General features: G+C 35.9%; 1 protein-coding gene across 25 annotated transcripts in view; it reads left to right on the top strand.

Annotated features, from left to right (window-relative positions):
• KDM6A (lysine demethylase 6A) overlaps positions 1–27,369 on the top strand; it is a 239,592-nt gene that overhangs the window by 193,490 nt on the left and 18,733 nt on the right. For 21 of the 25 annotated variants that reach the window (XR_007068200.1, NM_001419809.1, NM_001291415.2 and 18 more), the window contains 10 exons: positions 2,902–3,680; positions 10,020–10,149; positions 11,723–11,828; positions 12,469–12,674; positions 15,899–15,963; positions 16,038–16,112; positions 16,783–16,931; positions 19,188–19,302; positions 23,066–23,253; positions 24,046–24,187. Coding sequence is in view for 23 of the 25 variants with exons in the window: in NM_001419809.1 (NP_001406738.1) it covers positions 2,902–3,680; positions 10,020–10,149; positions 11,723–11,828; positions 12,469–12,674; positions 15,899–15,963; positions 16,038–16,112; positions 16,783–16,931; positions 19,188–19,302; positions 23,066–23,253; positions 24,046–24,187 (1,955 nt within the window). In the remaining 2 variants the exon portion in view is untranslated. Of the gene's footprint in view, positions 1–2,901; positions 3,681–10,019; positions 10,150–11,722; positions 11,829–12,468; positions 12,675–15,898; positions 15,964–16,037; positions 16,113–16,782; positions 16,932–19,187; positions 19,303–23,065; positions 23,254–24,045; positions 24,192–27,369 lie in introns of those variants that run through there. The other 4 variants (XM_047442430.1, XM_047442431.1, NR_111960.2 and 1 more) reach the window with 3 other exon arrangements.

The raw sequence follows: 27,369 nt of genomic DNA on the forward strand, positions 1-27,369 counted from the left end.
TTCTTTTCTCTCACATCTACTTCTTTGGCTCACTTAGTTGCTGAAGTTTTCAATACTCTCTTAACCCTGTTTTGGAAATGTGGGATTCTTTAAAAACGTAATTCGTAATTCTAATAAAAAGGAACTCCTCAGTTGGCAGGCCACGAGGCTTCTGTAATTTACCATACTAAGTAGCAGGGAGCCCCCAGCCTTTGCTTCACACGCCCTTCAAAGCCATTATCTGTAGGAACTTTACAATTTAAGTAATGAGGTTGAGAGAGTTGTTTAGAAAATGATGTTGAACTGATTCCAGGTCAAAAGTTTCCCAAATGAAGTTTCTGCATATCACTACAGCTGGGAAGCCTCTGTCTCTGCTGTTGATATATGGTATTAATATCATAGACTCTAAAGAGGCCTTTTTGGTAACTTGTCTTATACAAACCTATTTGAATAATTTTTGAAATTGTAATGAAAACTAGACAACTGGTAGACCTATATGGTATATCTACCTTTTAGTTTTTGATCAAGGGAGGAATTTACATTACAGTGTGGAATGGGTTTATTCAGATTGCTTTTGGTAGCAAGGGTATAATTTAAGATATGAAAGTAAAATTATATTAATTGTAGGTGATTATTCAGCAAGTACTCTAAAGAATTTGTAGCTTAAAATACCTTGATTTGCAGATAGAGAAGATGTAATAAAATAGTTACTTTGTCACATTTCTGCATATTGTAATCAGTGTATTTGTTAAATAATTGGCCTCTGAATTAAATATTTTACATTTGATGAAATTTTAACTCACCTACCCAGACTTTCTTGGATAATATTTTAAATATTGATATGATTATAATATGCAGTGTTTTTGCTTTATGAGAAATTTTCATGTAACTTACAAATTTCAACCTTCCTTTATTATGATTGAACTTTGTTACTTATTAAATCATTTACAACTAATTGCACTCCTTTACACACTCACTGGTGTGTATCTTTTTTTTGTTTTTTTTTTTTTTTTTGAGATGGAGCCTGGCTCTGTCGCCAAGCCTGGAGTGCAGTGGTGCGATCTTGGCTCACTGCAACCTCCGCCTCCTAGGTTCAAGTGATTCTCCTGCCTCAGCCTCCCGAGTAGCTGGGATTACAGGTGCCCACCACCATGCCCGGCTAATTTTTGTATTTTAATAGAGACAGGGCTTCACCATGTTGACCAGGCTGGTCTTGAACTTCTGACCTTAGGTGATCTGCCTGCCTTGGCCTCCCAATGTGCTGGGATTCCAGGTGTGAGCCACTGCGCCTGGCCAATGTGTATCAACTTTTAATATATCTAGTGTTTTAGGTAGATAAGCCTATTGAGTAAAAACATTAGTTTAAAATTTTCAGCTTCAGAAACTGATTTTAGGGGCATGCTAGCTGACTTTAACTAGATGATTAAATGCACCTTTTAGTATATAAATATCTTGTTATCAGCTATAGTTTTATTCTTTTATAGCTTATTACTGACAAAATGCTCTAACCTTGTTGCTGAAGTAATCTCAACTCCAAATGTAAACTCGTTTTATGATTCCAATGTTACTTTAATCAGTGTTGCTGAAAAATTGGCTGTCCTATTTAATTATTTTGTAAGTAAAATGAAATGAAAATATTCTTCTTAAAGAAGTTTCTCTGTGACACCAGAGGCAAATTTCAGGTAAAAATTAGTTCCAGTTATCATATTTTCATTCTATTAAATGCCCTAAGTGATCTTCCTCTAGTCTTAAAACTTCTATTAACTGTTAGTATACTGCCCCCTCAGATTGCTTTAACAGTAGCAGTGTATTTTTCTAAGTTTTCAAATTCAGGTGATGAAAAATAAAGTTTATCTCAAAGTCATTAGTGGAGACTTAAAATGTCTTTTTCTCCCCTTTTTTTTTAAAAAAAAAAAAAAAAAAGAGAGACACAAGGTTCTGCTCTGTCACCCAGGCTGGAGTACAGTGGCACCATCTTAGCTCACTGCTGGCTCAAACTCCTGGGCTCAAGAGATCCTCCCACCTTGGCCTCCTGTGTAGCTGGACTACAGGCACACTTGTCAACACACCTAGCTTGTCTGCCTGCTTTCCTTCCCTCTCTCCCCTCTCTCCCTCCTCTCTCCTCTCTCTTCTTTCTCTTTCTCTTTCTCTTTCTCTTTCTCTTTCTCTTTCCCTTTCCCTTTCCCTTTCCCTTTCCCTTTCTCTCTCTCTTTTTCTTTTGTGGAGACGGAGTCTCATTGTGTTGCCCAGCCTGGTCTCGAACTCCTGGCCTCAAACGATCCTCCTGCCTCGGCCTTCCAGAGTGCTGGGATTACAGACATAAGCCACTGCACCAAGCCTATCTAGTCTTCTAAATATGTGTGGATGGATAGATGGGGAAACTTTAGGTATTTTTTGAAATATTTTCATAGATTTAATAGTTCTGCCCTTAATTTTGAGGATAGCTACTTTAACAATAGGATTTGAATTACAGAAGATTATATTTTAATGATAATTTTAAAGGCTTAATGAACTCACTTTCTATATTAATCTTTTAACAGATCACAGACCAGTGAGAGTTGGTTTATGTTGATCCATGGTCATAGCTTTTAATTATTAATGATGATATATGTCTATCCATGTCTGATTTTAGAGATGAAAATATGTATATTGGAACTTAAAATTTGTAATGCTTCATCTGAAGTAGTTTATTCTACACTAATAATGGAGTCATTTTAGATAGCAAGGAAGAAAAATTTCTCTAAAGATGTTAAATACTGATTAGCTAAGTTGCAGGTACTTTTTGATAACTTTAGGACTTGGGTCAAATTATCTTATACAGTTAGATATTTATTTTTAGTGGCTTTTCTCTTTAATATTTTAAATTCTGTATATTCTGAGTTTGCTTAATATTAGATTTAAACTATTTTTCTTTCTTTTTAGGGGCTTCACAAAGGTCAGAGTTCACATTCGGCAGGTCCTAATGGTGAACGACCTCTCTCTTCCACTGGGCCTTCCCAGCATCTCCAGGCAGCTGGCTCTGGTATTCAGAATCAGAACGGACATCCCACCCTGCCTAGCAATTCAGTAACACAGGGGGCTGCTCTCAATCACCTCTCCTCTCACACTGCTACCTCAGGTGGACAACAAGGCATTACCTTAACCAAAGAGAGCAAGCCTTCAGGAAACATATTGACGGTGCCTGAAACAAGCAGGCACACTGGAGAGACACCTAACAGCACTGCCAGTGTCGAGGGACTTCCTAATCATGTCCATCAGATGACGGCAGATGCTGTTTGCAGTCCTAGCCATGGAGATTCTAAGTCACCAGGTTTACTAAGTTCAGACAATCCTCAGCTCTCTGCCTTGTTGATGGGAAAAGCCAATAACAATGTGGGTACTGGAACCTGTGACAAAGTCAATAACATCCACCCAGCTGTTCATACAAAGACTGATAACTCTGTTGCCTCTTCACCATCTTCAGCCATTTCAACAGCAACACCTTCTCCAAAATCCACTGAGCAGACAACCACAAACAGTGTTACCAGCCTTAACAGCCCTCACAGTGGGCTACACACAATTAATGGAGAAGGGATGGAAGAATCTCAGAGCCCCATGAAAACAGATCTGCTTCTGGTTAACCACAAACCTAGTCCACAGATCATACCATCAATGTCTGTGTCCATATACCCCAGCTCAGCAGAAGTTCTGAAGGCATGCAGGTTAGTGTGGGAAAGTTCATCAAAGTGAAAATGTTTGACTTACTGGCATGATCAGAATGCTGAAATTTGGACCGTTTAAGATATGGGAAGTAAGCAAAAGATGGTGTAGTCATTCATCTAAGAGTTTGACAGAAGCTTTATTTTGCTTAGATGTTGTAGTCAAATCAGATGTGAGAAGTATTCCTGTAAATTGCTTATTTTGAGTGGGTGTGTCTGATTGTGCTGTTACTGCCCTCTACTGGTTACTAGGTTGTCAGCTTCAGTGTGATTGACTTCGCTCTGGGGATTTAAACAAGAGAATGGGTTAAATCATATTTGGCCAAATACAGCAAGGCTGGAAAACCCTATGGGTTTTTTTTTTTTTTTTATCAGAGCCTATTAAATGTTAGGCTAGGAATGGACCCCATCACTTATCAAGGCTAGTCTTTGCTTACAATTGAGAAAACTGGACTGTTTGAATCTAGAAGAGGTTATAAAGCAGGCAGAAGAGGAAGGAAGAGGTCAGGGGCAATGGGCAGTGGAGAGACATGACAGACTGTCAGCCATTCTGGAAGGAGCCAGACATATTCTGCTAGTCTAGGAAGGGCAGGGCCTCAGAAATTTATGAAGAAATGAACCTCCTCTGTCCCACAAAAGAAGAATCAAAGGATCAGGCAGCATCATCTTTCTCTGATATTTGGAGGACATATAGATTCTTACTGGCCTTTTCATTGTATATGACACATATATAATTTTTCTCATTTACTTGTAGTTGTTGTCCTCTATAAGTGACTAAATCTTGAATGAAATTTAGTTAACATAACTGGAACAAACAAATAATTCTGTAATATTTTCTGATACATTAAATGTTAAGTTTGAGCAGACATATAGTAGATTTTAAAAAGATCTTTTTTTGGTTGTAGATTGTCATGATATATAGAAAATAACCATTCTATAAATAGAAATTATAAACATTAGTTCTAGTTTGGCTACATTGACCATTTAATATAGCTTTTACATTTTAAAGTTCAAAACAATTCTTATTTATAGCCATATAAACCTCTTCCTGCAGTTGCTAGTACTTATATGTCTTATTTATTGTTATGTAAAAGTGTGATTATCTTTTCTGTTGTTCAGATTATTTTATTAGAAGGTATCCTGGGTCTACCGTTAAATGTTTGTCACTGACGAATGATTGAGGTGAAATTAAATTTTATTTATATATAAGTTTGCTGCTTGGGAGGGATGTGGGGTAGGAGCAATGGAGTATGGAGAAGAAATTTCAATTAATTTAAATTTATCGCTTTAATTGTGACACTAGAACTTTACTATAAATTACACTATAGTCATTTTTCTTTAAAGAGTTTGAGTGTTAAAAATACCTTTTGGTCTGTGTTTTCTTTTCTTTTCTTGTCTTTTCTTGTCTTTTCTTGTCTTTTCTTGTCTTTTTTTAAGACAGTTTCGCTCTTGTTGCCCAGGCTGGAGTGCAATGGCGCGATTTCAACTTACCGCACGCTCTGCCTCCCAGGTTCAAGCGATTCTCCTGCCTCAAGCCTCCCAAGTAGCTGGGTGGGATTACAGGCATGCAGCACCACACCTGGCTAATTTTGTATTTTTTAGTAGAGACGGGGTTTCTCCATGTTGGTCAGGCTGGTCTTGAACTCCCAACCTCAAGTGTTCCACCTGCCTCTGCCTCCCAAAGTGCTGGGATTACAGGCGTGAGCCACTGTGCCCAGCTGGTCTTTGTTTCATTTTCTATTAGTTTCTATTTCTGTTAGTTTCTATTTCATTATTTCCTGTCAAATTTTAACTATTTAGTTGTTATTCTGACATAGACTAGGGCAGAAATTACATCCTTTTTTATATTTTATTTTTTTCTTTATTGGGTCCACGTTGTTGGCAGCATTTTCCTTAGTGACCTACAACATGGTGATTGCTGTAATTAATCTTAACTGTCTTACAAGATTTTTTAAGGTCAGTAACTTAAGAGGACATTGGATGATCTCTAAATGAAATTCTTCTAAAGCATATAGTGAGGTTCTTGAGTTCCTAAAATTTGTTTCTTTAGAAATTTTTATATTATAGGTTTTTATATTAGTTTTTTTTTTGAAGTTAGGCTATCATTCAGTTCAACTCTGGGCCTACAGAAAATAGGGAGTGTTCAGATTAAATGCTACACTTGGCTCTCCTTAGACAGTGCCTTGATTCACTGCCAGTTTGACTGTCTTCTACCTGCTCCTCACTCATCTGCTGGGGCCTCTGTCCTGTTTCCTAGGTACTGCTGCTCTAACTGCTGGAGCAGGGGCTTTCTCTCTCATCCACTCTCTGTAGACTCAGGACAGTTGCTAGAAAATGGGGAAGATTTGGAGGTTCAAAACTAACATCATGAACTGCATGGGACCTAAGGAGGAATATTGTCAGAAAGAGTTCCATGGAGCTATGTTCTGTTCCCCAAGTTACAAACTGTGTATAGTAGCAGTTTTCATAAGTTTGTATTAATAAATTGTATATTATTTAAAAAAATATAATAATATATATATATATACATATATATACTTTAAGTTCTAGGGTACATGTGCACAATGTGCAGGCTCGTTTCATAGGTATACATGTGCCATGCTGGCCAGCTGCACCCATCAACCTGTCATTTACATTAGATATTTCTCCCAATGCTATCCCTCCCCCTGCCTTCCACCCCACAGCAGGCCCCGGTGTGTGATGTTCCTCACCCTGTGTCCATGTGTTCTCATTGTTCAGTTCCTAGCTATGAGTGAGAACATGCAGTATTTGGTTTTCCGTCCTTGTGATAATTTGCTCAGAATGATGGTTTCCAGCTTCATCCATGTCCCTGCAAAGGACATGAACTCATCCTTTTTTATGGCTGCATAGTATTCCATGGTGTATGTGTGCTGCATTTTCTTAATCCAGTCTATCATTGATGGACATTTGGGTTGGTTCCAAGTCTTTGCTATTGTGAATAGTGCCACAATAAACATACGTGTGCGTGTGTCTTTATAGTAGCATGATTTATAATCCTCTGGGTATATACCCAGTAATGAATGGGATTGCTGGGTCAAATGGTATTCTAGCTCTTGATCCTTGAGGAATCTCCACACTGTCTTCCACAATGGTTGAGCTAGTTTACACTCCCAGCAGTGTAAAAGTGTTCCTATTTCTCCACATCCTCTCCAGCATCTGTTGTTTCCTGACTTTTTAATGATTGCCATTCTAACTGGTGTGAGATGGTTATCTCATTGTGGTTTTGATTTGCATTTCTCTGATCACCTGTGATGATGAGCATTTTTTCATGCGTCTTTTGGCTGCATAAATGTCTTCTTTTGAGAAGTGTCTGTTATATCCTTTGCCCACTTTTGGATGGGGTTGTTTGTTTTTTTCTTGTAAATTTGTTTAAGTTCTTTGTAGATTCTGGATATTAGCCCTTTGTCAGAATGGATAGATTGCAAAAGTTTTCTCCCGTTCTGTAGGTTGCCTGTTCACTCTGATGGTAGTTTCTTTTGCTGTGCAGAAGCTCTTTAGTTTAATTAGATCCCATTTGTCTATTTTGGCTTTTGTTGCCATTGCTTTTGGTGTTTTAGTCATGAAGTCCTTGCCCATGCCTATGTCGTGAATGGTATTGCCTAGGTTTTCTTCTAGGGTTTTTATGGTTTTAGGTCTAACGTTTAAGTCTTTAATCCATCTTGAATTAATTTTTGTAAAAGATGTAAGGAAGGGATCCCGTTTCAGCTTTCTACATATGACCAGCCAGTTTTCCCAGCACCATTTATTAAATAGGGAATCCTTTCCTCATTTCTTGTTTTTGTCAGGTTTGTCAAAGATCAGATGATTGTAGATGTGTGGTGTTATTTCTGAGGCCTCTGTTCTGTTCCATTGGTCTATATCTCTCTTTTGGTACCAGTACCATGCTGTTTTGGTCCAAAATCTGCTTCTTTCTTCAACTCCTTTCTCCACTTTGGATTTTTATATGAAAGTTTTATTATTTGGCTTGAGGTGTTCTAAACAGTGTTGGGCATTTACATAGAAGATAAAGTCTATTCCTGTTATCACAGCCCTGCCCTTTGCATTAGGATTGGTCAATATATTTTAAGTGGAAATAGCTTATATTTGCTATGCAGAGCACTATAGATACCATCAGTTCCTTCAGGGAAATTCCTATGTGTTTGAAAATTGACCTTAATAGGCAGGTAGTCAGCATTTCAAACACAATAAGAAACTGCTAGGTATGACTTGAATGCACTATTGGATACCCCTTTATTTCCATATATGTAGTTAAAGTGCTGGTTATTTTTAAATCTGATTCTTGTTTAGTTTATCTTATTGTTGCAGTGGTCAGTGGTATACATTAAAAGGCAGTTATAATACTTTTGCTTCTTTCATGTCTAAAATTGTAATTGCAACATTCAAGTGATTGAATTGTTGTCAGCTCCCTTAGTCATGCCCCACCTTTTTCTTTTCTATTTTAAAATATTGGCAACAACATTTTCCATTGTTTTACTTTGTCATTTGTCTCTTTTTTAATTGTTACAGATCTGTGTAAATGACAGAGACAGAATTCTACTAATCTGTCAAACCTTGTTTTCTAGTCTCATCTCTCAATGTCCAGTATGTTGTAGAAGCTTAAATTTAGGTGCCACATTTAATTAGTTTGAGATGCTCTTGTATAGCACAGTTTTAATACATGGTTCATATACTTCAATTTCTTCAAAATAGTAACCATTTACTCTACAGTAGTATATCCATCTCCTTTCCTAAAAGACAGTTTCTGTATTCTGAGTCATATTTTGCTTATATTCGATAGAGTGGCAGATACACAATTCAGCATGAAAACTATTATTTATGTAGATATTGTAACTGTTTTATCTTGCATTGGTTTAATGATAATACTTGAGTTGTTTCTTTCCCAGTCTCGCCAAAAATTTTCTACATGTTAAAAGCAAAAATTTGATGGAGTTTATAAATTGGTACCAACTTTATACCCAAATCTAAAAGCTTAAGTGTATATCTGTCTTTAAATGTACAAGGCACATGTGCTTTGTGGAAAGAGATTGAAAACTAGTTTTGGACAGAAAATTTATTCAACCTTTAACCTTACTTGTTAGCTGAATGTAAAATTTCAGTTTAATAATATTTTCATGTATTTTTATTTAAAAGTCAATTATTTTAAATGTAAATCATTCCTTTGAGACCTGCCATGAACTTTGTTGTTTTTACTTGGAGTTGTAGTTGAAAAAATTAAGAAAGTAACACCCATGATGCTATTTAGTATAACATCTTAAAAGTCTATGGCAGTGAAGGTTTAAGCCCTAGTTTTCATTAGTATCAACCAAAACAGGCTAATTTGTAACACTTTGTTCAGTGTAGCAAGATAAGGAAAATTAATTTTGTTTCAACCTGTTTTATTCTTTGTGATGAAAATAGCTAATTCCTTCTTAAGTTACTGAGTTTTTGAGTTCCCAGAATAATTGAAAATTTCAAATTATTACTTGAAATTTAATATATTAAGAGTACTTAATATTTTAATGCATTGATTGCTTTTGAACTTGTAATAATTCGGTGGGGTAAGTTAGTTAAACTGGAGTGGTTTGAAAGCTCAAAATTATTTCTTGTTGATTTTCTAAGTTTAGTAGAAACATTGGAAATATCTTGCTTGTACTGAAAGAATTATTGTTAGGGAATAATTCTACACTATCTTAAGAATTTATAATTTTAACAGAGTGATACCTTCATCAACCTAAATACCAGTAAGTAATAATTATATACAGTGTCAGAGAGTAGATAGCAGTTATATGCATTGTTTAAAAAGAAGTAGCATAATTTGCTGTATAGTCAAGGAGTTGCATAGGAAATTTTTTTCTGATTTGAGAAAAAGGAAAAAATCTCAGGTTTGAGAGTTGTTACAAAGATATTCTGATTATAATTGCTAAGATGAGACACAGGAAAAGAGACATTCTGTTTTTTACTATTACCTAGAACTTTTTTTGGTCAAGTTAATATTTTAACATTGATGGAAAAGAATGTGATGGTAGAGAGGAAATTGTAAGCTCATGTTTGTTGTTTAGGTGAAAATAAATTGGAAAATTACGAGCAAAATAAGGAATGTCATCAATAATTTATATGTTGTGATATCTTTTATTTTCCTTCAGTGGAGGATATATAGGAATCAAGTCTTTGCTGAAATTAATAATCATTCTTAGTGTTTTTCCTGATGGATCCACATCCCACATCTCATGGACTTGTGCAAATGCCTAGTAATTTAATTAGGACTTAATTCAGGATTCTTTTTTTTTTTTTCTGTTTTCCAAATAAATGTACAACTGATTATCCCTTTTTTTTTTTTTCCAGGAATCTAGGTAAAAATGGCTTATCTAACAGTAGCATTTTGTTGGATAAATGTCCACCTCCAAGACCACCATCTTCACCATACCCTCCCTTGCCAAAGGACAAGTTGAATCCACCTACACCTAGTATTTACGTGAGTCTGAATTGACTGACTAGAAATAAAACAGTGTTTGCAACTACCTGTCTTTCATAAAATCTTTAAATTTACATGGATGCCCTTTAGGAAACATTACAATTATTGGCAGCAGATTAAATAGTTTGGGGGCGGGGGGGAAGATATATTCAAGAAGATTTTGTAATAGCATTTTTAAAGGACCTTCTCAGCTATTAACTGTGATGATATTAGAATCATGAGAAACATTTTTTATTGCCCTAATTTTGAGCAGCGTTAGGAAAAAGCTACCTAAAAGTGTAACTTTTTTTAGTAAACTGGGTTTTAAATCCACATTCTACTTAGTTATGTGGACCTTAACATTCATTCTGTTTTATACATCTACCCCCCCAAAAAAGATACTACCTTCAAAATAAGTGTTTGAGAACATAAGTGTGATAGTAGATATATGTGACTAAAAAAACTTAATAGGTTATTTAAAACATTTAAAACTAGATACTAGTTTTACTTTATAGAAATATAGGAATCTGATATAGGAAGTCATTAGCAGTTCAATCAAAACAATTCCTATTTCTGTTTCTTCCAAATAGATCTTCCTATCCTATTTCCTTTCATTTTCCTGCTTCTATCCCAAATTAAAATTTTGTAAGTATAAAGTTAGGGTAGTATATGTATAATGATCTTGCATCTATAAAATGGTACTAGAGTTTGTTTTATAGATTTAACCCCCTTGCCCTCTAGAGGCCAAATATTATCATATTAATTCTTCCTCCAACCAGTTGTTGTTTATCCCTTACTATGTAAGGGAAGCACTGGGATAGACATGTAAAAAAACTTGTAAAGTGAGCTCTGAGGAGAAAAAAAAATGCAAAATTAAGTTTTTATCTTTTATGGGTCCTCTTCAGTCTGCTTTCTTTGATAATATTTGTTTAGGCATAATTTTTTTTCTTTTCCTCTCTTATATTGTGATTTTTTAAAAACACATAGCATAAAATTTACCATCTTACCCATTTCTGAGTGTGCAGTTCAGTACTGTTAAGCATATTCACATTGGTGTCCAACCAATCTCCAGAACTTTCTCATCTTGACAAACTGAAACTACACACTGAACAACTACCCATTTCTCCCTCCTGCCAGCCCCTGGCAACTACCATTCTACTTTCTGTTTCTATAAATTTGACTATTCTAGATACCTCATGTAAGTGGAACCATACAATATTTGTCTTTTTGTGACTGGCTTATTTCACTTAACATAATGTCCTCAAGATTCATCCATGTTGCAGCATGTGTCAAGATTGTCTTTTCATTTTAAGACTGAATAATATTTAAAACACTTTGATTTTGAAGTTTAATTTCAGTTTCATTTCTCCTACATATTTTTGTCATGATAAAATGGAAAGGAGAAATGTATGTGGTTACTATCTGATTAAAACTAGAATCAAAAGTCACAGTGATAAGATACTGTCAAATAGAAATATCACCCCATAAAATGCGTTATTTAAATTGTGAAAAATAATGAATATTAATTTGGAGCATAATATTTAAATAAAAGCTCTGTTTTCCTGAGATCTAACCACATATTTTAATTTTACAGTTGGAAAATAAACGTGATGCTTTCTTTCCTCCATTACATCAATTTTGTACAAATCCGAACAACCCTGTTACAGTAATACGTGGCCTTGCTGGAGCTCTTAAGTTAGGTAAGCCTTAAATTAAAAAAGGAAAACGTTTGTCTCTTTGTTTTGCTATCTTTTAACTTTTCCAGCACTGGCAGATACTTTTCTTTTTTTTCTTTTTTCTTTTTTTTTCTTTTTTTGTATTTTAATTTTACTTTTTTTTAGTACTAAGAATGAGAGAGAGTGTGTGTATCACTTCTTTAATCCATGATGTGAATATATTGTTGGTGATACTGGTTACTGACAATTTGGTGGAGGTTTTTAAATTTAGCTATTACTTTGGTCCGTTTACATAATTGTGATTTAGGTTAATAGAAAAAATTTGATTATAAAATGTAGGTGAAATTTGATGCTACTAATAAATACTATAGCCCCATAAGTATTTCCTGGCATCTGCAGAAATTAAATAAATAAGTGAAATTTCAGTCCTTTCACACTTAATTCTTTCTCGGATGGGATGACATAGCAGTTAGATTCAGGGCTTCAGCGTATGGTTCTGCAAACTTGGCACATAGCTCAGGTTGTGCAGAGGCCCTAGTTTTTTATGGGAACTGGATACAGTGCCGTAAAATGCTTTACCTTCTTCCTTTAAAAAAAAAAAGCACTTAAAATATTATCCCAAATATAATTTTCATTTTTTAACTACATTTATGTATTCATGAAGACCTGGGACTTTTCTCTACTAAAACTTTGGTGGAAGCTAACAATGAACATATGGTAGAAGTGAGGACACAGTTGTTGCAGCCAGCAGATGAAAACTGGGATCCCACTGGAACAAAGAAAATCTGGCATTGTGAAAGTAATAGATCTCATACTACAATTGCTAAATATGCACAGTACCAGGCCTCCTCATTCCAGGAATCATTGAGAGTAAGTATTTGTATCCTAAAGATTATTTTAGGATTTTAAAGATGATTTTACTTTGGAGTTTTGAAAGGACACATTACTTTTATATGCATCTCATCATTTTATGTTACATAAAATACTTTGTAAGTGTTCTCCAGTTGTCTCGTATGTATATATGTATGTATGTATGTATGTATGTATGTATGTATGTATGTACGTACGTATGTGTATTTTGAGACGGAGTCTCCATCTGTCGCCTAGGCTAGAGCGCAGTGGCACGATCTTGGCTCACTGCACCCTCTGCCTCCCAGGTTCAAGCGATTCTCCTGTCTCAGACTCCTGAGTAGCTGGGATTACAGGCATGTGCTACCACGCCCAGCTAACTTTTTTGCATTTTTAGTAGAAACTGGGTTTCACCATGTTGGCCAGGCTGGTCTCGAACTCCTGACCTCAAGTGATCCGCCTACCTCGGCCTCCCAAAGTGCTGGGATTACAGGCGTGAGCCACCGCACCCACCCTCAGTTTGCTTTTAGTAAAATCTAAACAAATTGATGGATTCATGAAGTAAATAGCATCATGGGGAAATAGAATTACTGTCTAGTGAAATGTCTCATTTCTGGGATACTTTTTTTAGAGCAGGGTTTCTTAACTTCGATACTATTGACATTTTGGACTGGATAATTCTTTGTTGTGGGGGGACTGTCCTGCACCTTGCAGGGTATTTATTAGCATCTCTGGCTTCTCAAAAATATCTCCAGACATGTCATATACCCCCTGAAGGGCACATTCACTCCTGGTTGAGAACTACTGATTTAGAGGATAAACTAAGTCTCAAGTTTATTTTATGCTTGTAAAATCCGGTTTGGTCTTCTCATTTTTTTCTTTAGTGCTATCTCATAGACAACTCCTGCAGGAAACATTAGTGTTCTTCTTACCAATCTTAGGCTGTAAGAGAAATCTGAAGGAGGAAATTAAAAAACAAAAATGTAAAAATAATCAGGATTATTATTATTAAAAGACCCATATAGCCCTTTCAGCACTGAAGCATTACAAAAATCCTCTAGCACTATAATGAGAACTTTGTGAATTCTCTTACAAAGTGAACATAATACATCCAAACAAATGAGTTTATTAAACGTATTACTCAAATACTTGTCTGCACTAAGTTGTTTTTTCTTCAAATGTCCTACCACTGACAGTATGTGGCTGAAAGTCTTTAATTTGTGATTCATTAGATTTGCTTGTTGTCTTTGTTTAAAATTCTGCCAACTCATATTTTCAATCAAGATAGCATTTCTGCCTGTAAATTGTATATTTGTCTTCCTTTCCCCCTGCCGCTCCCTATATATTACAAAGAAATTCTTCTAATAAAAACTATCCTGTGACTTTACTGAGTTGCAGTGAATTCATTGTCCATATAACTCTGTAGTTCAGACTTTCAAGATACTTCAAGTACCTGGTAATATTATAGTCAGAAGAGAATAAATAGTAAGAAGGAGTCAAAGATCATCAAAGAAAAATTTGGAGGAAGAGTTGAAAAGCAAAGATAGTAAGAGGCAGTCTATTTAAATGGGGAGGGTTCCATAGCCAAAGAAAGCTTGGGGTTTTGTTGTTGTTTTTTTGAGACGGAGTTTCGCTCTTGTTGCCCAGGCTGGAGTGCAACGGCATGATCTCGGCTCACTGCAACCTCCGCCTCCCAGGTTCAAGCAGTTCTCCTGCCTCAGCCTCCCGAGTAGCCGGGATTACAGGCATGTGCCACCACACCCAGCTAATTTTGTATTTGTAGTAGAGACGGGGTTTCTCCATGTTGGTCAGGGTGGTCTCGAACTCCCAACCTCAGGTGATCTGCCCATCTCGGCTTCCCAAAGTGCTGAGATTATAGGCATGAGCTACCGTGCCCTGCCAGCATGGGGTCTTTTAGTATGCTTTAAGACATGGACCATTACATGTGAAAAGTTTGACAAATGTTCAGACACTATACATTTAAAGGAATGGAAGCCAAAGGTCAGAAGTATTGCTAACTCAGAAATCATAAAACAGTGTTAACAGATATCATGTCTGTGACTCAAGAGTTGTAAATAAAAGTAATATTTGCATTGAAAAATACCTATATGTATCCAGCAATGTTCTAAACATTTTGTCATTTGTGTGTAATTCATTGTGGAATAAATATCCCCTGGAAGAACTTTTCCTTTGTTCATAATCAAGAATAAAAAGTATCTTATCTTCCACTATTACACATATATAGCTATGTACACATACATACACCTCTGCTAGCTTATATCATTTATAATCAAGATTGGGATGCCCTAGGCCTTTCAGCTTTCCTCAAGTTTTCTCTCCTCTTGAAAATGGGGCAGGTATGAGAATCTGTATTATAACTTTGTGGCTAGTGGAGGAAGTTGGATACCATGCCGGTGAGATTCAACTTTTCTTGGGTATTTATTTATTTTTTATTTTTTATTTTTTTTAGACGAGTCTCACTCTGTCGCCCAGGCTGGAGTGCAGTGGCGTGATCTCAGCTCACTGCAACCTCCACCTCCCGGGTTCACGCCATTCTCCTGCCTCAGCCTCCCAAGAAGCTGGGACCACAGGCGCCTGCCCCCATGCCCGGCTAATTTTTTTGTATTTTTAGTAGAGACACGGTTTCACTGTGTCAGCCAGGATGGTCTTGATCTCCTGACCTCGTGATCCCTCTGCCTCGGCCTCCCAAAGTGCTGGGATTACAGGCATGAGCCACTGTGCCTGGCTTTCTTGGGTATTTATTTATTTAATGTGGTGTTTGAAGAAATTTTCATGTGTAAGAGGCCTATAGAAACTTAGTTTCAAGGCCAGGCATGGTGATTCACGCCTGTAATCCCAGCACTTTGGGAGGCTGAGGCCGGTAGACAGCTTGAGCACAGGAGACTAGCCTGGGCAACATGGCAAAACCCCATCTCTACCAAAAATACAAAAATTAGCTGGGCGTGGTCATGCGCACCTAATAGTCCCAGCTACTGAGGAGGCTGAGGCAGGAGAATCGTTTGAGCCCAGGAGGCAGAGGTTGCAGTGAGCCGGGGTCGCACCACTGCACTCCAGCCTGGTCAACAGGAGTCAAACCTTGTCTCAAAAAATTAAAAACATGAAACTTAGTTTCAAAACACAAATAATACTATTCAATCTAGATATGAACTTTTTTTCAGTTGTATGGTGGAAAGGATTGCCAGTTGTAGAACACTAAACTAGACTGCTTTTTGCTTAATCTATAGGAAGAAAATGAAAAAAGAAGTCATCATAAAGACCACTCAGATAGTGAATCTACATCGTCAGATAAGTAAGTCATTTTTAATGTCCACTTAGTATTTCTTTTTAAAAGGCATGTTTCTAATACTGTGTCTCTTTTTTAAGTTCTGGGAGGAGGAGGAAAGGACCCTTTAAAACCATAAAGTTTGGGACCAATATTGACCTATCTGATGACAAAAAGTAAGTCCTTGTAGTAATATTTCTGTGAACTGATGCAAAGAGTTATCCTGTGCTAGATTGGGAATTCTCTACAATTTCCTCTTCTGTTTCATTTATTGTCATTTTTTTTAAGTTGACATGAATTTAAGCTAAACTTTTTTTGCTACATTTTACAATTAAAATTTTAAAATTTTTTTTTAAAAATAGAGATGGGGTCTCACTGTGTTGCCCAGGCTTGTCTTGAACTCCTGGGCTCAAGGGATCCTCCCACCTCAGCCTTCCAAAGTGTTGGGGTTACAGTTGTGAGCCACTGCACCCTGCCAAATTTTTTTTTTTACTTAAAACTTTTCTGCAGTTTTTCATCAAGACTCTGACTATATGCTAATTACATAATCACAAATTATATTTTTAATTATATGAAATAGTTACGTGAAAATGTATTTATAAAATATAATTGTACAACTATTAAAATAGTTTTTTTCTTTTATTGGTGAATAATTTTTATGCCTATTTTTTGTTGGGAAGTTTTCTTTGGAAAAAATTAAAAATTTAAGCATTTTCTTATGGAAAAGTAAAATATTTATAGACTTAATTGTTTTTTCTGATTGGAACACAAGGGTTTTGAAGAAATGGTAAACTTCCACAGGTATTTGTAGCAGAGTTTCACTTTTGATGTGTTATTTTATTGCAGGTGGAAGTTGCAGCTACATGAGCTGACTAAACTTCCTGCTTTTGTGCGTGTCGTATCAGCAGGAAATCTTCTAAGCCATGTTGGTCATACCATATTGGGCATGAACACAGTTCAACTATACATGAAAGTTCCAGGGAGCAGAACACCAGGTAATTTGTATGAACTAACATATCTTGTTAAAATGGAAAACAAAATCAAAATATGAAACATGCAAAGACAGCCAGAATCTTGTCATTTATAATGAATAAAACTGAGAGTTGTTCCTGTTATAAGACTTTTTAACTGGGCTCAGATTAAGATTTTTCCCCTTTTCATTATCTTTTTTTAGTGTAATAGCCCAGAAACATTATAACAATTTAATCTGGAAAGGGGTCATTGGAGCACCACTGGGAAATAAGTTCTTTTGGCCTGAAGACTCTGTTGTCAATCCCATCTGTTGCAGAGAGTGATGGGGTGCAGTGTTTTTGAATTTTTCTTTTAACCCAAGTAACAATAAAAAGTATGTTTTATATGTAACCGAATGCACATGTATGTATACAGCAGCAGTTTTATTGAACAATACGTTTTCCAATCTATTCTATTCTGTTTCATTTAAAAAATAAAGTGTAGGTTGCAGTTTTCTAAGTGGATCACAACTCACGGTTTTAAAAAAACTTCATCATGTGGAGACATTACTAGACTCATTCTAATAACTAGTCTAGACTTTGCCACTAATTAGGCTTGTCACTTTTGGCAAGTTACATTTCTTCTTTAGGTCTTTTTCTTCATTTATAAAGTGAATTACATTGTTTTTAGACTTAAATTTTCCATCCAGTACTGAAGTACCATCTTCTTTGTGCTCTTTTGCATTGACATGAAATTTCACAGGGTGATATTCAAAATATTTAACAATTGCCACAATCGCAGCACTGATCAATTAGAAGAGATACTGTTGATGACCAGTTCAGCTGTACCAATGTACTTGGGGCTGCAGGTCTCCCTCAGGTGCTTCTCTTTGCTACTTGATGCAGCCATGGTTTGAAAACCAGACTGCTTCCTTCTTTGTTCACATTCTTACTGAGTCGTGCTTAAGAATTTTTTCAGAATAGGGCTATGCTTGCTTCTGGGTAAAATGGGTCAGTGGTTCCCCATCCTGGCTGCTGATTTGATTCTCTTGTCCTTTTTTCTTTTTTCTTTTTTAAGAGACAGGGTCTTGCTATGTCACTCAGGCTGGAGTGCAGTGATGTGATCATAGCTCTCTGTAACCTTGTTTAACTCCTGGGCTCAAGCAATTCTCCTGCCTCAACCTCCCAAGTAGCTAGGACTACAAGTACATGCCACCATGCCTGGCTAATTGTTTTGAGGTTCACATAATGACTTCAAGTTATTCTTCCCTCTGGACCTCCCAAAGTGCTGGGATTATAGGCTTGAGCCACCACACCTGGTAGCTTTTTAAAAGTATGTAATTAATTAATCTCTAGGATTCAGATCCAGGCATGAGGGTAGGTGGGTGGGTTGGTTGGTTTTTAACTGAGGTCCCCAGAGGATTCTAATATACAGCCAGGATTAGAACTATTGGTTATAATTGTTATCCTCAGACCATTAGAAGCCCAATTCTGTGATATTTTATCCATAGTCAGGTAAAGTGCAAAGAGTTCTGGAATAAATGATAGAAGAACTATGTTCTGCTCTGTACTCTGTCATTGGACACTGATATAAATGTTGGGCAAAAAACATTATTTTGAGTACCTTGTTATGGGGTAAACACTGTTCCTGGAGATTAGTTCATAAGGAAAAAAATGGTAATGATATCTATAATAGCTAATATTTATTGCTTACTGTGTACAGATGGTCCCTGAGTTGAAATGGTTCAACTTACCACTTTTGGACTTTATGGTGGGTTTATCAGAGTATTAAATGCATTTTCAACTTAAGGTATTTTTCAACTTACTATGGGTTTATCAGGATGTAGTCCCATCTGTAAGTTAAGGAGCATCTGTATTAAGCACTGTTATATGCATTCATTAGTTTATCCATCTTCAAAACAACCCAACAATTTATAGAGATTATTATTATCTGTTCTTACATATAGGGAAACTGAGTCAGAATGGTTTACCAACTTGCCCAGGTTCAATTAATGACTAAGCCAAGGAGTCTGGCTCCAGAGCCTAATCTCTTAACCATGATTATACTGCCTATCATAGAAGCTCTTACTGAGTATGTTAGGAGTTGACACAAAAATGCTACAGTGATGAAGAACTAAATACTACTAGAGTGTTCTCTGTTGAGCATTTGTAAGGTTTTGTTTCCAAAGACCCATTTTTCTATAGAATTATAGTGTGATGATTAATTTTTTTCTGTATAAGTACCGTGTGCTAACCAATTGCACCACTGGAGCTCCAATTTTTTTTCTTTTCACATTTCAGGTCATCAGGAAAATAACAACTTCTGTTCAGTTAACATAAATATTGGCCCAGGTGACTGTGAATGGTTTGTTGTTCCTGAAGGTTACTGGGGTGTTCTGAATGACTTCTGTGAAAAGTAGGTTTCCAAAGTAAATTTTCTTAAAACATATATTAGAAAGCAGTAATTGTAAACGACAACTTACCAAGCTGGATCTCCTAATGGATACATTGCCAGTATTCACTTACCATTCAGCGAAGAATTCATTTTAAATTATTTGATTCCAAACCTCATATTTTGTGTTATTGGAAATACTTTAAGAAAGATGCCATGAAACAACTTCATGCAGTAGTAGTACCCATGAATTAAGAAGATAGAAAAGTTGAGTTATTAGTTTAATTTTTAAAATGATGCATACTTATTCATTTGAAATGTGTGTATTCCAAGAAAAATTGTTTTGTTATAAATGGTTTTAGGAAGTAGAAGGAATTCTTTATTGAGCACCCGTATAGGCTGTGAATAACTCAAGCTTGACCATAATACCTTTTGCCATATCATGATATAAATTCTTTTTAAACTGACAACTTTTTCTATGAAGAAATTTTATAAAATGTATTATTTATTTTTTATTTTTAAATAGAGATGGGGTTTCACCATGTTGCCTAGGCTGCTCTTGAACTCCTGAGCTCAGGCGATCCACCTGCCTGGGCCTCCTACAGTGCTGGATTACAGGCATGATCCACCACATCCAGCCCAGATTTTGTTTTCTCTAGTTGAAAGAACTTGGATAGTTCCTTTCCTTAAGATCCCAGAAATAGCTTTTATTTACTTCTGTGTCTTGTGTTAAAAAGTACTTTGGAATTTTTTTTTAGTTGGTTTCAATTTGATCATTTGTCTAGATAGAACCTTACTCTCTTCTTTTCTAGAACCTTATTCTCTTCTTTTCTAGAAAGTACTTCATTATATAAGGACCTGGTATTTTCATTTAGTAATAACATTAGCAAATTAGTATAGGATGAAAATATACATTATATACACATTTGGTGTTATGCCCCCACCCCAATTAAAGGGGGAAAACACCCACAGAAAACATTTACATGAGATTACTTTGAAAACTAATTATACACATATTCCACATACTACTTTATTTTTATTTTTTCCTTTTTTAAGACGGAGTCTTGCTCTGTTGCCCAGGCTGTAGTGCAGTGGCACAATCTCAGCTTACTGCAGCCTCCGCCTCCCAGGTTCAAGCAATTCTCCTGCCTCAGCCTCCTGAGTAGCTGGGATTACAGGGGTGTGCCACCATGCCCTGCTAATTTGTGTATTTTTAGTAGAGACAGGGTTTCACCATGTTGGCCAGGCTGGTCTCGAACTCCTGACCTCGTGATCCACCCACCTTGGCTTCCCAAAGTGCTGGGATTACAGGCGTGAGCCACCACGCCCAGCCCCATACTAACTTCTAATTTCTTACTTTGGTTTAAGAATCTTTGCTGTAAATATTTGGATTTAGTAAGAAGTGCATCGTAGTTGAAAAACAAAAAAATATATTAATCCACAGTTTCCTTATATAAAAGCAAGAGATAATTACCTTATGTTGTCTTCTCTATTCATATATTGGTTTCCTTCAATGTAAGAAAGCCAAAGATACAGAGTTTTAAAGCTTCTAATGTACTGATGAAATAACCTGATTACTTTAATCTGTACTTTTTTTATGGACCAGTAGCAGCAGAGAAAGAACATTGTTATATGGGAAATCTCCATTGTGCTATAGAAAGATTTTTATTTCTTAAACTTTGAGTTAATACTATATTGTTGCAGCTATAGTACAGGAATCCTTGTTCATTGTTTCTGAGTAGGGACTGGCTATTTTTAGGGTGTAGTTTTGTTTCCTATCTAAATGGAGAGGTGTCTTGGGAAAAAAGATAATTAGAATAAGCAGATGATGTCCAAAAAGCTTGAGCGTAGGGATAATAAAAATATCAAGTTAGAAGGAAGGGTTAGGTAAATCTAATAACTCAGTTGTGAAAGTAGTACTTGCTTCTTCAGCATTTCACTGTAATTTTGTTTCACATAAAGATTGTTGCTTTTGATAGTGACTGTATACTGTATCTGTAGTTTATTTTATGGCTTTAAATAATACCTGTCTTGAAATAACCATTCTTTTGAATATATGATTAAAATGATGCATGCTTTTTGGTAAGTTTGATTTTTGGGGCGGGGGGTGTCTGTTTGGGATTACTTGCTTGCTTTTGGATAAAAAGTTTTCTCTAATTTTGTAATGGCAATACATGGGTGAAATAAGGCTAGGATTTGTGTCTATAGCCATTTTTTGCTTTATAGGCAACTTTTTCTGGACTGTATCTACTTGGCCTTGTCACACACAATAAGCCAATCCTTATCCCTTTGCAGTTAGGCTACCATTTGCACTCTAGTCTAAACTTTCAAGAGTAGCCTTGCATTTTTCAAGAGAGAAAAAGAGAGACTAAGGTTCTTTCTAGATCATAGTTTGGCGATTTCTTTTCCATGAAGGGCCAGATAATAAATATTTTCACCTTTCCTGGTCATGCGCTGTCTGTCACAACTGTGTCATTATAGCACAGACACAGAGATAGTACGTAAGTGAATGGACATAGCTGTATTCTAATGAGTTTTTTTTACAGAAACAGGCAGTGGGCTGAATTTGGCCCGTGGGCCATAGTTTGCCAACCCTTGATCTAGATAAAAAATTAAATTTAAACCAGTAAAAACAATTGTAAAGTATACTTTATCATGTGCTATAGCACAAGACAAATAAAGTAAGATTATTTCTTAGATCTTAAGGAAAGGAACATTTTTACTGTGTAAGTTCTTCCTTCCCCAAAATATGAAATTTGAAGTGGTTAATTCAATTTTATAAAGTTCTTTTATGGGAAAGGTTGCTATGTTGTTTAAAAAGTACTTCATATCATGATGGAGAATAAGAAGCCAGATATTAAAATAAAAGCTTAATAATATCTAAGGAATGTTTCCAAAGTATATTGGTAGTAGTGGTCATGATTATTTGTGCATGTGCGTGATTGTTTGTTTTTGCTGAAGTTGTTTTGAACTGCATAGTTTTAATCAGCTAATCATCAAACTATATGGAGTCTGACATCCAGTCTCCTTTTCCTCAGAAATTAAGGGAAGTTCCTGGTACTTGTATTGCCACAGTGTTCCTGTTTATGGATTTAAATGACTTGATGTCAACTCCACCTTCCATTTACCTTTTAGGGATTTCTAGGTGCTCCAGGGAGAAGGCTTCAGTCAAAAATAGTCTTTGTTGAAATGAAATTGAAAGTGAATTTATGTGTTACTTGAAAGTAGCTTTGGATTTCATTTGGATCTTTGAAAAATCAATTTAAGATGGTAATGCTGGGCCGGTCCACTTACTACAGGTATTATAATTCCTGTAATCCCAGCACTTTGGGAGGCCGAAGCAGGCGGATCTCCTGAGGTCAGGAGTTCGAGACCAGCTTGGCCAACCTGGTGAAACCCCGTCTGTACTGAAAATACAAAATTAGCCAGGCGTGGTGGCAGGTGCCTGTAATCCCAGTTACTCCAGAGGCTGAGGCAGGAGAATTGCTTGAGCCCAGGAGGCGGAGGTTGCAGTGAGCCTAGATGGAGCCACTGCACTCCCGCCCAGGCAACAGAGCAAGACTTTGTCTCAAAAAAAAAAAAAAAAAGTAACACTGATCTTTAGTAATTTAGTACTCAACCATAATTACACACTCTATATACATACAGCAGATCTTTTTGCACAAGCAATTATGTTTCAATAAAATGAACAAGTGTTTATTTAAAAAATTTGTGACATTTTCTTCCAGTCTTACTAGGAGCTTCTTAATGTAGTTGATCCATTTGCATTATTTTTTTCTTATTTCAGAAATAATTTGAATTTCCTAATGGGTTCTTGGTGGCCCAATCTTGAAGATCTTTATGAAGCAAATGTTCCAGTGTATAGGTTTATTCAGCGACCTGGAGATTTGGTCTGGATAAATGCAGGCACTGTTCATTGGGTTCAGGCTATTGGCTGGTGCAACAACATTGCTTGGAATGTTGGTCCACTTACAGGTATTATAAAGAATATGCTTTAAAAAAGTTAATTTATAAAGGATTATATCCAATAGGACTGTTCCTTTTTTCTTGAAATATAACTCACTAAAAGTTGTAAGAAGAATGACTCCTTGCATAGAATTGTAATTCGTAGTACAACAAATTAAATTCAAGTTAACAAATAGAAATCTAAGAGCATAGATGTTAGCAAATAACAAGTTTATGGCTTTAATATACATGAAGGTTATAATAATAAATTTTAGAGTGCTTGGTTTTATTTTAAAAAAACCCTTATGAGAGAAAACAAAGTAGAAAAATTATTCTTTCACATTTAAAAAAATCTAGTGTTTCATATGAATAGCTCTGTAATGTCAAAATCTGTTTGAATTATGCCTGCCTTCAGGCAGTACTCACTTAAGGTTAAGAATGTGGAGTTTAGAGCCAGAAAGACCTGGATTAGGACCAGGATCTGGCTCTTGTAACTTTGGGCAAGTTATTTAACCTCTCTGGTCCTCGATTTTTTCATCTGTATAATGGAAGTAATGAAATTAATAAGGTGATGGTGAAGAGTAAATGAGATAATGGGTAAAAATAAAAACACAGTGCTTGGCACATAGTCATAGGAAGTGCTCTTTATATGATTGCTAATATTATTACTACTGTAATTATCATAAAGCATAAAAATTATTTTTATAGTGTTTTGAGGTTTTCAGAATTGATGTTGAAGATATCACCTGAGCAGGTGATAATGGTTATCTTCATATCTTTTGGTACTTTGGGTTGCTTTATAACTGTTTTTTTTTTTCCTAGCCTGCCAGTATAAATTGGCAGTGGAACGGTACGAATGGAACAAATTGCAAAGTGTGAAGTCAATAGTACCCATGGTTCATCTTTCCTGGAATATGGCACGAAATATCAAGGTCTCAGATCCAAAGCTTTTTGAAATGATTAAGTAAGTCTTTTCTAAAACTGCTGTAGTCCCTCTCTTTTTGGGGAGTGTTAACTATTAAGTTTTTTTTCTCCCTTAGAATTACGTTGACATCAAAGCAAAATGGTGCAAAAGTCTAGCAGAATGTATTATGAGAATCCACATGTTAAAAATATTTTTCCCTTTCAAATAGCCCACTATGGTACAGAAAGGAAAAAAAGACCTATGATTATAAACCAGTAGAGTCACAGACCTGTGCTTCTTTCCCATTTCCCTCTGAACCACCTGATATCCCAGGATAACTTTAGTTTTAATATGAAAATCTACCATTAATAACTTGAGGGGAAAATGGCATCACAGAATATTTGTTGTCACAGACAAATTAGCAGTTAATATAGGGATTTGACTAAAATGCTGATTTTTTAATTTTTAATTAAATCATCTATTTTTTAAGTATCTCTTTTCTGAGCTACTTAAAAAAATTTAGTATAAGTTATATAAATTCTTACCTAGGGACCTAGTTTGAATACATATATACCAGTAAGCTTCACATTTGTTTTCACAGTTTCTATCTTAGCCATTTTGTAAATCTATTTAGAGGTACTATTTTCAAATAGTGCTATATAGCAGTGTTTCCCTAAACTGTGTTTTCCACTACTAGCTCTGTCCCCAAAAGATGGGGAATTCTGGCTATGGAAATATGGGAAATGATAGATTAAAGTTCAGCAAGTGGACAAGTCCTTTATTTTTTGTAAAATATTTCAGATACTGTATATGTTAATGTAATTTGTGAATGAGGGAGAAGAGTTATAGTGTATGGTATTTCCCAAACTTATTTGACCAGTATCTTTTGAAGAATTAGTTTTCTCAAAAGCTCATTTTGGGATACACTGCTTTATATTAATTGATAAAAATAAGTTTGTCTTAGTCTTTGTTAAAATAGAGTTTACATTAAGTATTTCTCCTGCAGATATATTAATTTGGTCAGCATGTGTTGTTTTCAAAATACTGTATTTTGAAAGTAATCCTGGTTTGTTAAAATGATTTCAAATCTAGATCGAAACTTTTATTTAAACAAAAGTTGTGTGGCCAAGGTAACATGCCTATAAATTATTTTATGACAGTCTTTTCTCAGTTGCACCATTTTACCTAGTTATAGGTAGAAGGGTAGGGGAGACAAAAAGGACCAAAAGCCAAATTATAGCGAGTAATGTACTACAAATTCTTTAGAACATTGGATCTTAGGTACCATACTCTCGATAAATATAATTTATAGTGGGGTGGGGAATTGTCTGTCCATTTATCCTGTTATATGTCAGAATGGTACTTTACCCTGAATAGCAAGTTCAGTGTTATTTTTTGAAACAAAAATGACCTAAAGTCACTGAAGGTGTTTAGTAGATCACTTAAAGGTAGTTCAAGGTACAAGCCATTTATCTAACAGCTATATAGACTGAAAGTAACTCATTACATTATGAGTAGATTAGGATTTTATAATTGGAAAGGATTTTAAGGTCACTTAATCAGCTCCTACTTAATATAGTAATCTCATCTGTATTCATAATTTGTGGTCATCCAGTGACTTCTTAAACATTCTTTTCACCTCACTATAATTCTTGCAAGTTCTTTACAAAATGGCCTAAAGTCTACCTGTCATTTGGTCCCAATTTCCTAAATATATTTAGGATTTCTGCAGAATAAATCCCATTCAACAAATGTTTGAAAACTCACTCTATGCCAGACACTGTTCTAGGCACTGATGATGGACATACCAATGTTTAAGATGAAATTCCTGTCCTCTGGAGACTTCAATTCTAGTAGAACAAGACAGAAACCCCCAGTATAATTTATTTATATGAATAAGATAAAATACAATAATATTTGGGAGGAGGGAAGGTCGGAGTGCTCCTTTTGCTTAACTGGTCTGAGAGTGTGAGTTTTCTGCTTAGCCCTGAATAATGAGATGAAATCAACTACACAAAGATCTATGGGTAGAACCTTTCATATACAGAGAACAGATGAAGGCTAAATTGGGAATAACTTTGGCATGTTTATGGGACAAAAAGGCCAGGGTGACTATAGCTGAATGAGAGAAAGGAAGAGTGATGGTGATAAACTTAAGCAAGCAGGAATGAGATCATACATGGGCTTTCTGGACATGGTAAGAAGTTTATATATTAATTCTAGGTGTTACAGCTTGCCATAGAGGATTTTAAGCAGGAAAGGAATAGGTTTCACTTTAAATTTAGAAAATGGATCTAGTGGGTGCAGTGGCTCATCCCTATAATCCTTGCACTTTGGGAGGCCGAGGCGAGCCGGATCACTTGAGGTCAGGAGTTTGAGACCAGGCTGGCCAACATGGCGAAACCCCATCTCTACTAAAAATACAAAAATTAGCCGGGCATGGTGATGGGCACCTGTAATCCCAGCTACTCTGGAGGCTGAGGCGGCAGGGGTGGTGGGGCGGGGGGTTGCAGTGAGCCAAGATGGTGCCACTTCACTCCAGCCTGGGTGAAAGAGTGAGACTCTCTCTCAAAAAAAAAACAAACAAACAAACAAACAAAAAAAAAACGGATCTAATTGCTGTGTGTGGAATGAGTTCCAAGGGGTAAGCTTAGAAGTAGGGAGGACAAATTAGGAGGCAATTGTAACAGTACAGACCAACCTGGACAGAGATTTCCCTGTAAAAATAGAGAGAGGGGGTCAAACTAGGGAGTCTTATGGAACTAAAGCTTGTAGAACTTGCTCATAGATTAGGTGGTTGAGTGAGAGGGAAAAAGGAACCAAGGAAAACTTATAGTCTTTTCTTCTTGTTGCCTGATTGTCATTAATGTAAACATTAATCACCTCTATCATCTTTTCCATTCCCTACCCCACCCTCAATATTCTTGATACCCTTTGAGACTCCTTCCAGTTTATCATTAAAATGTTGAGGTATCGACATTTATGTTGTTATAAAGTTGTCTTGTGTTGAGGTTGGACACACAAAATTTGTGTGTTTTTCTACTTATAATTTATAGTGATACTGTTGTTTCTTATACATTTCTTTTTTTTAACCTAGATGCACTTACATTCTTATCTATACTCCATTTTGCCCTACGCTACAAAATGTCTCATCATTTAAATCTTGATTGCATTCCTGTGATATTAACAATTCTTCTCCCAGCTTGAGTACCTATTGACACACCAATTGAAAATGTTAACCA

This window comes from Homo sapiens, chromosome X (assembly GCF_000001405.40).
Source record: "Homo sapiens chromosome X, GRCh38.p14 Primary Assembly".
Taxonomy (NCBI): domain Eukaryota; kingdom Metazoa; phylum Chordata; class Mammalia; order Primates; family Hominidae; genus Homo; species Homo sapiens.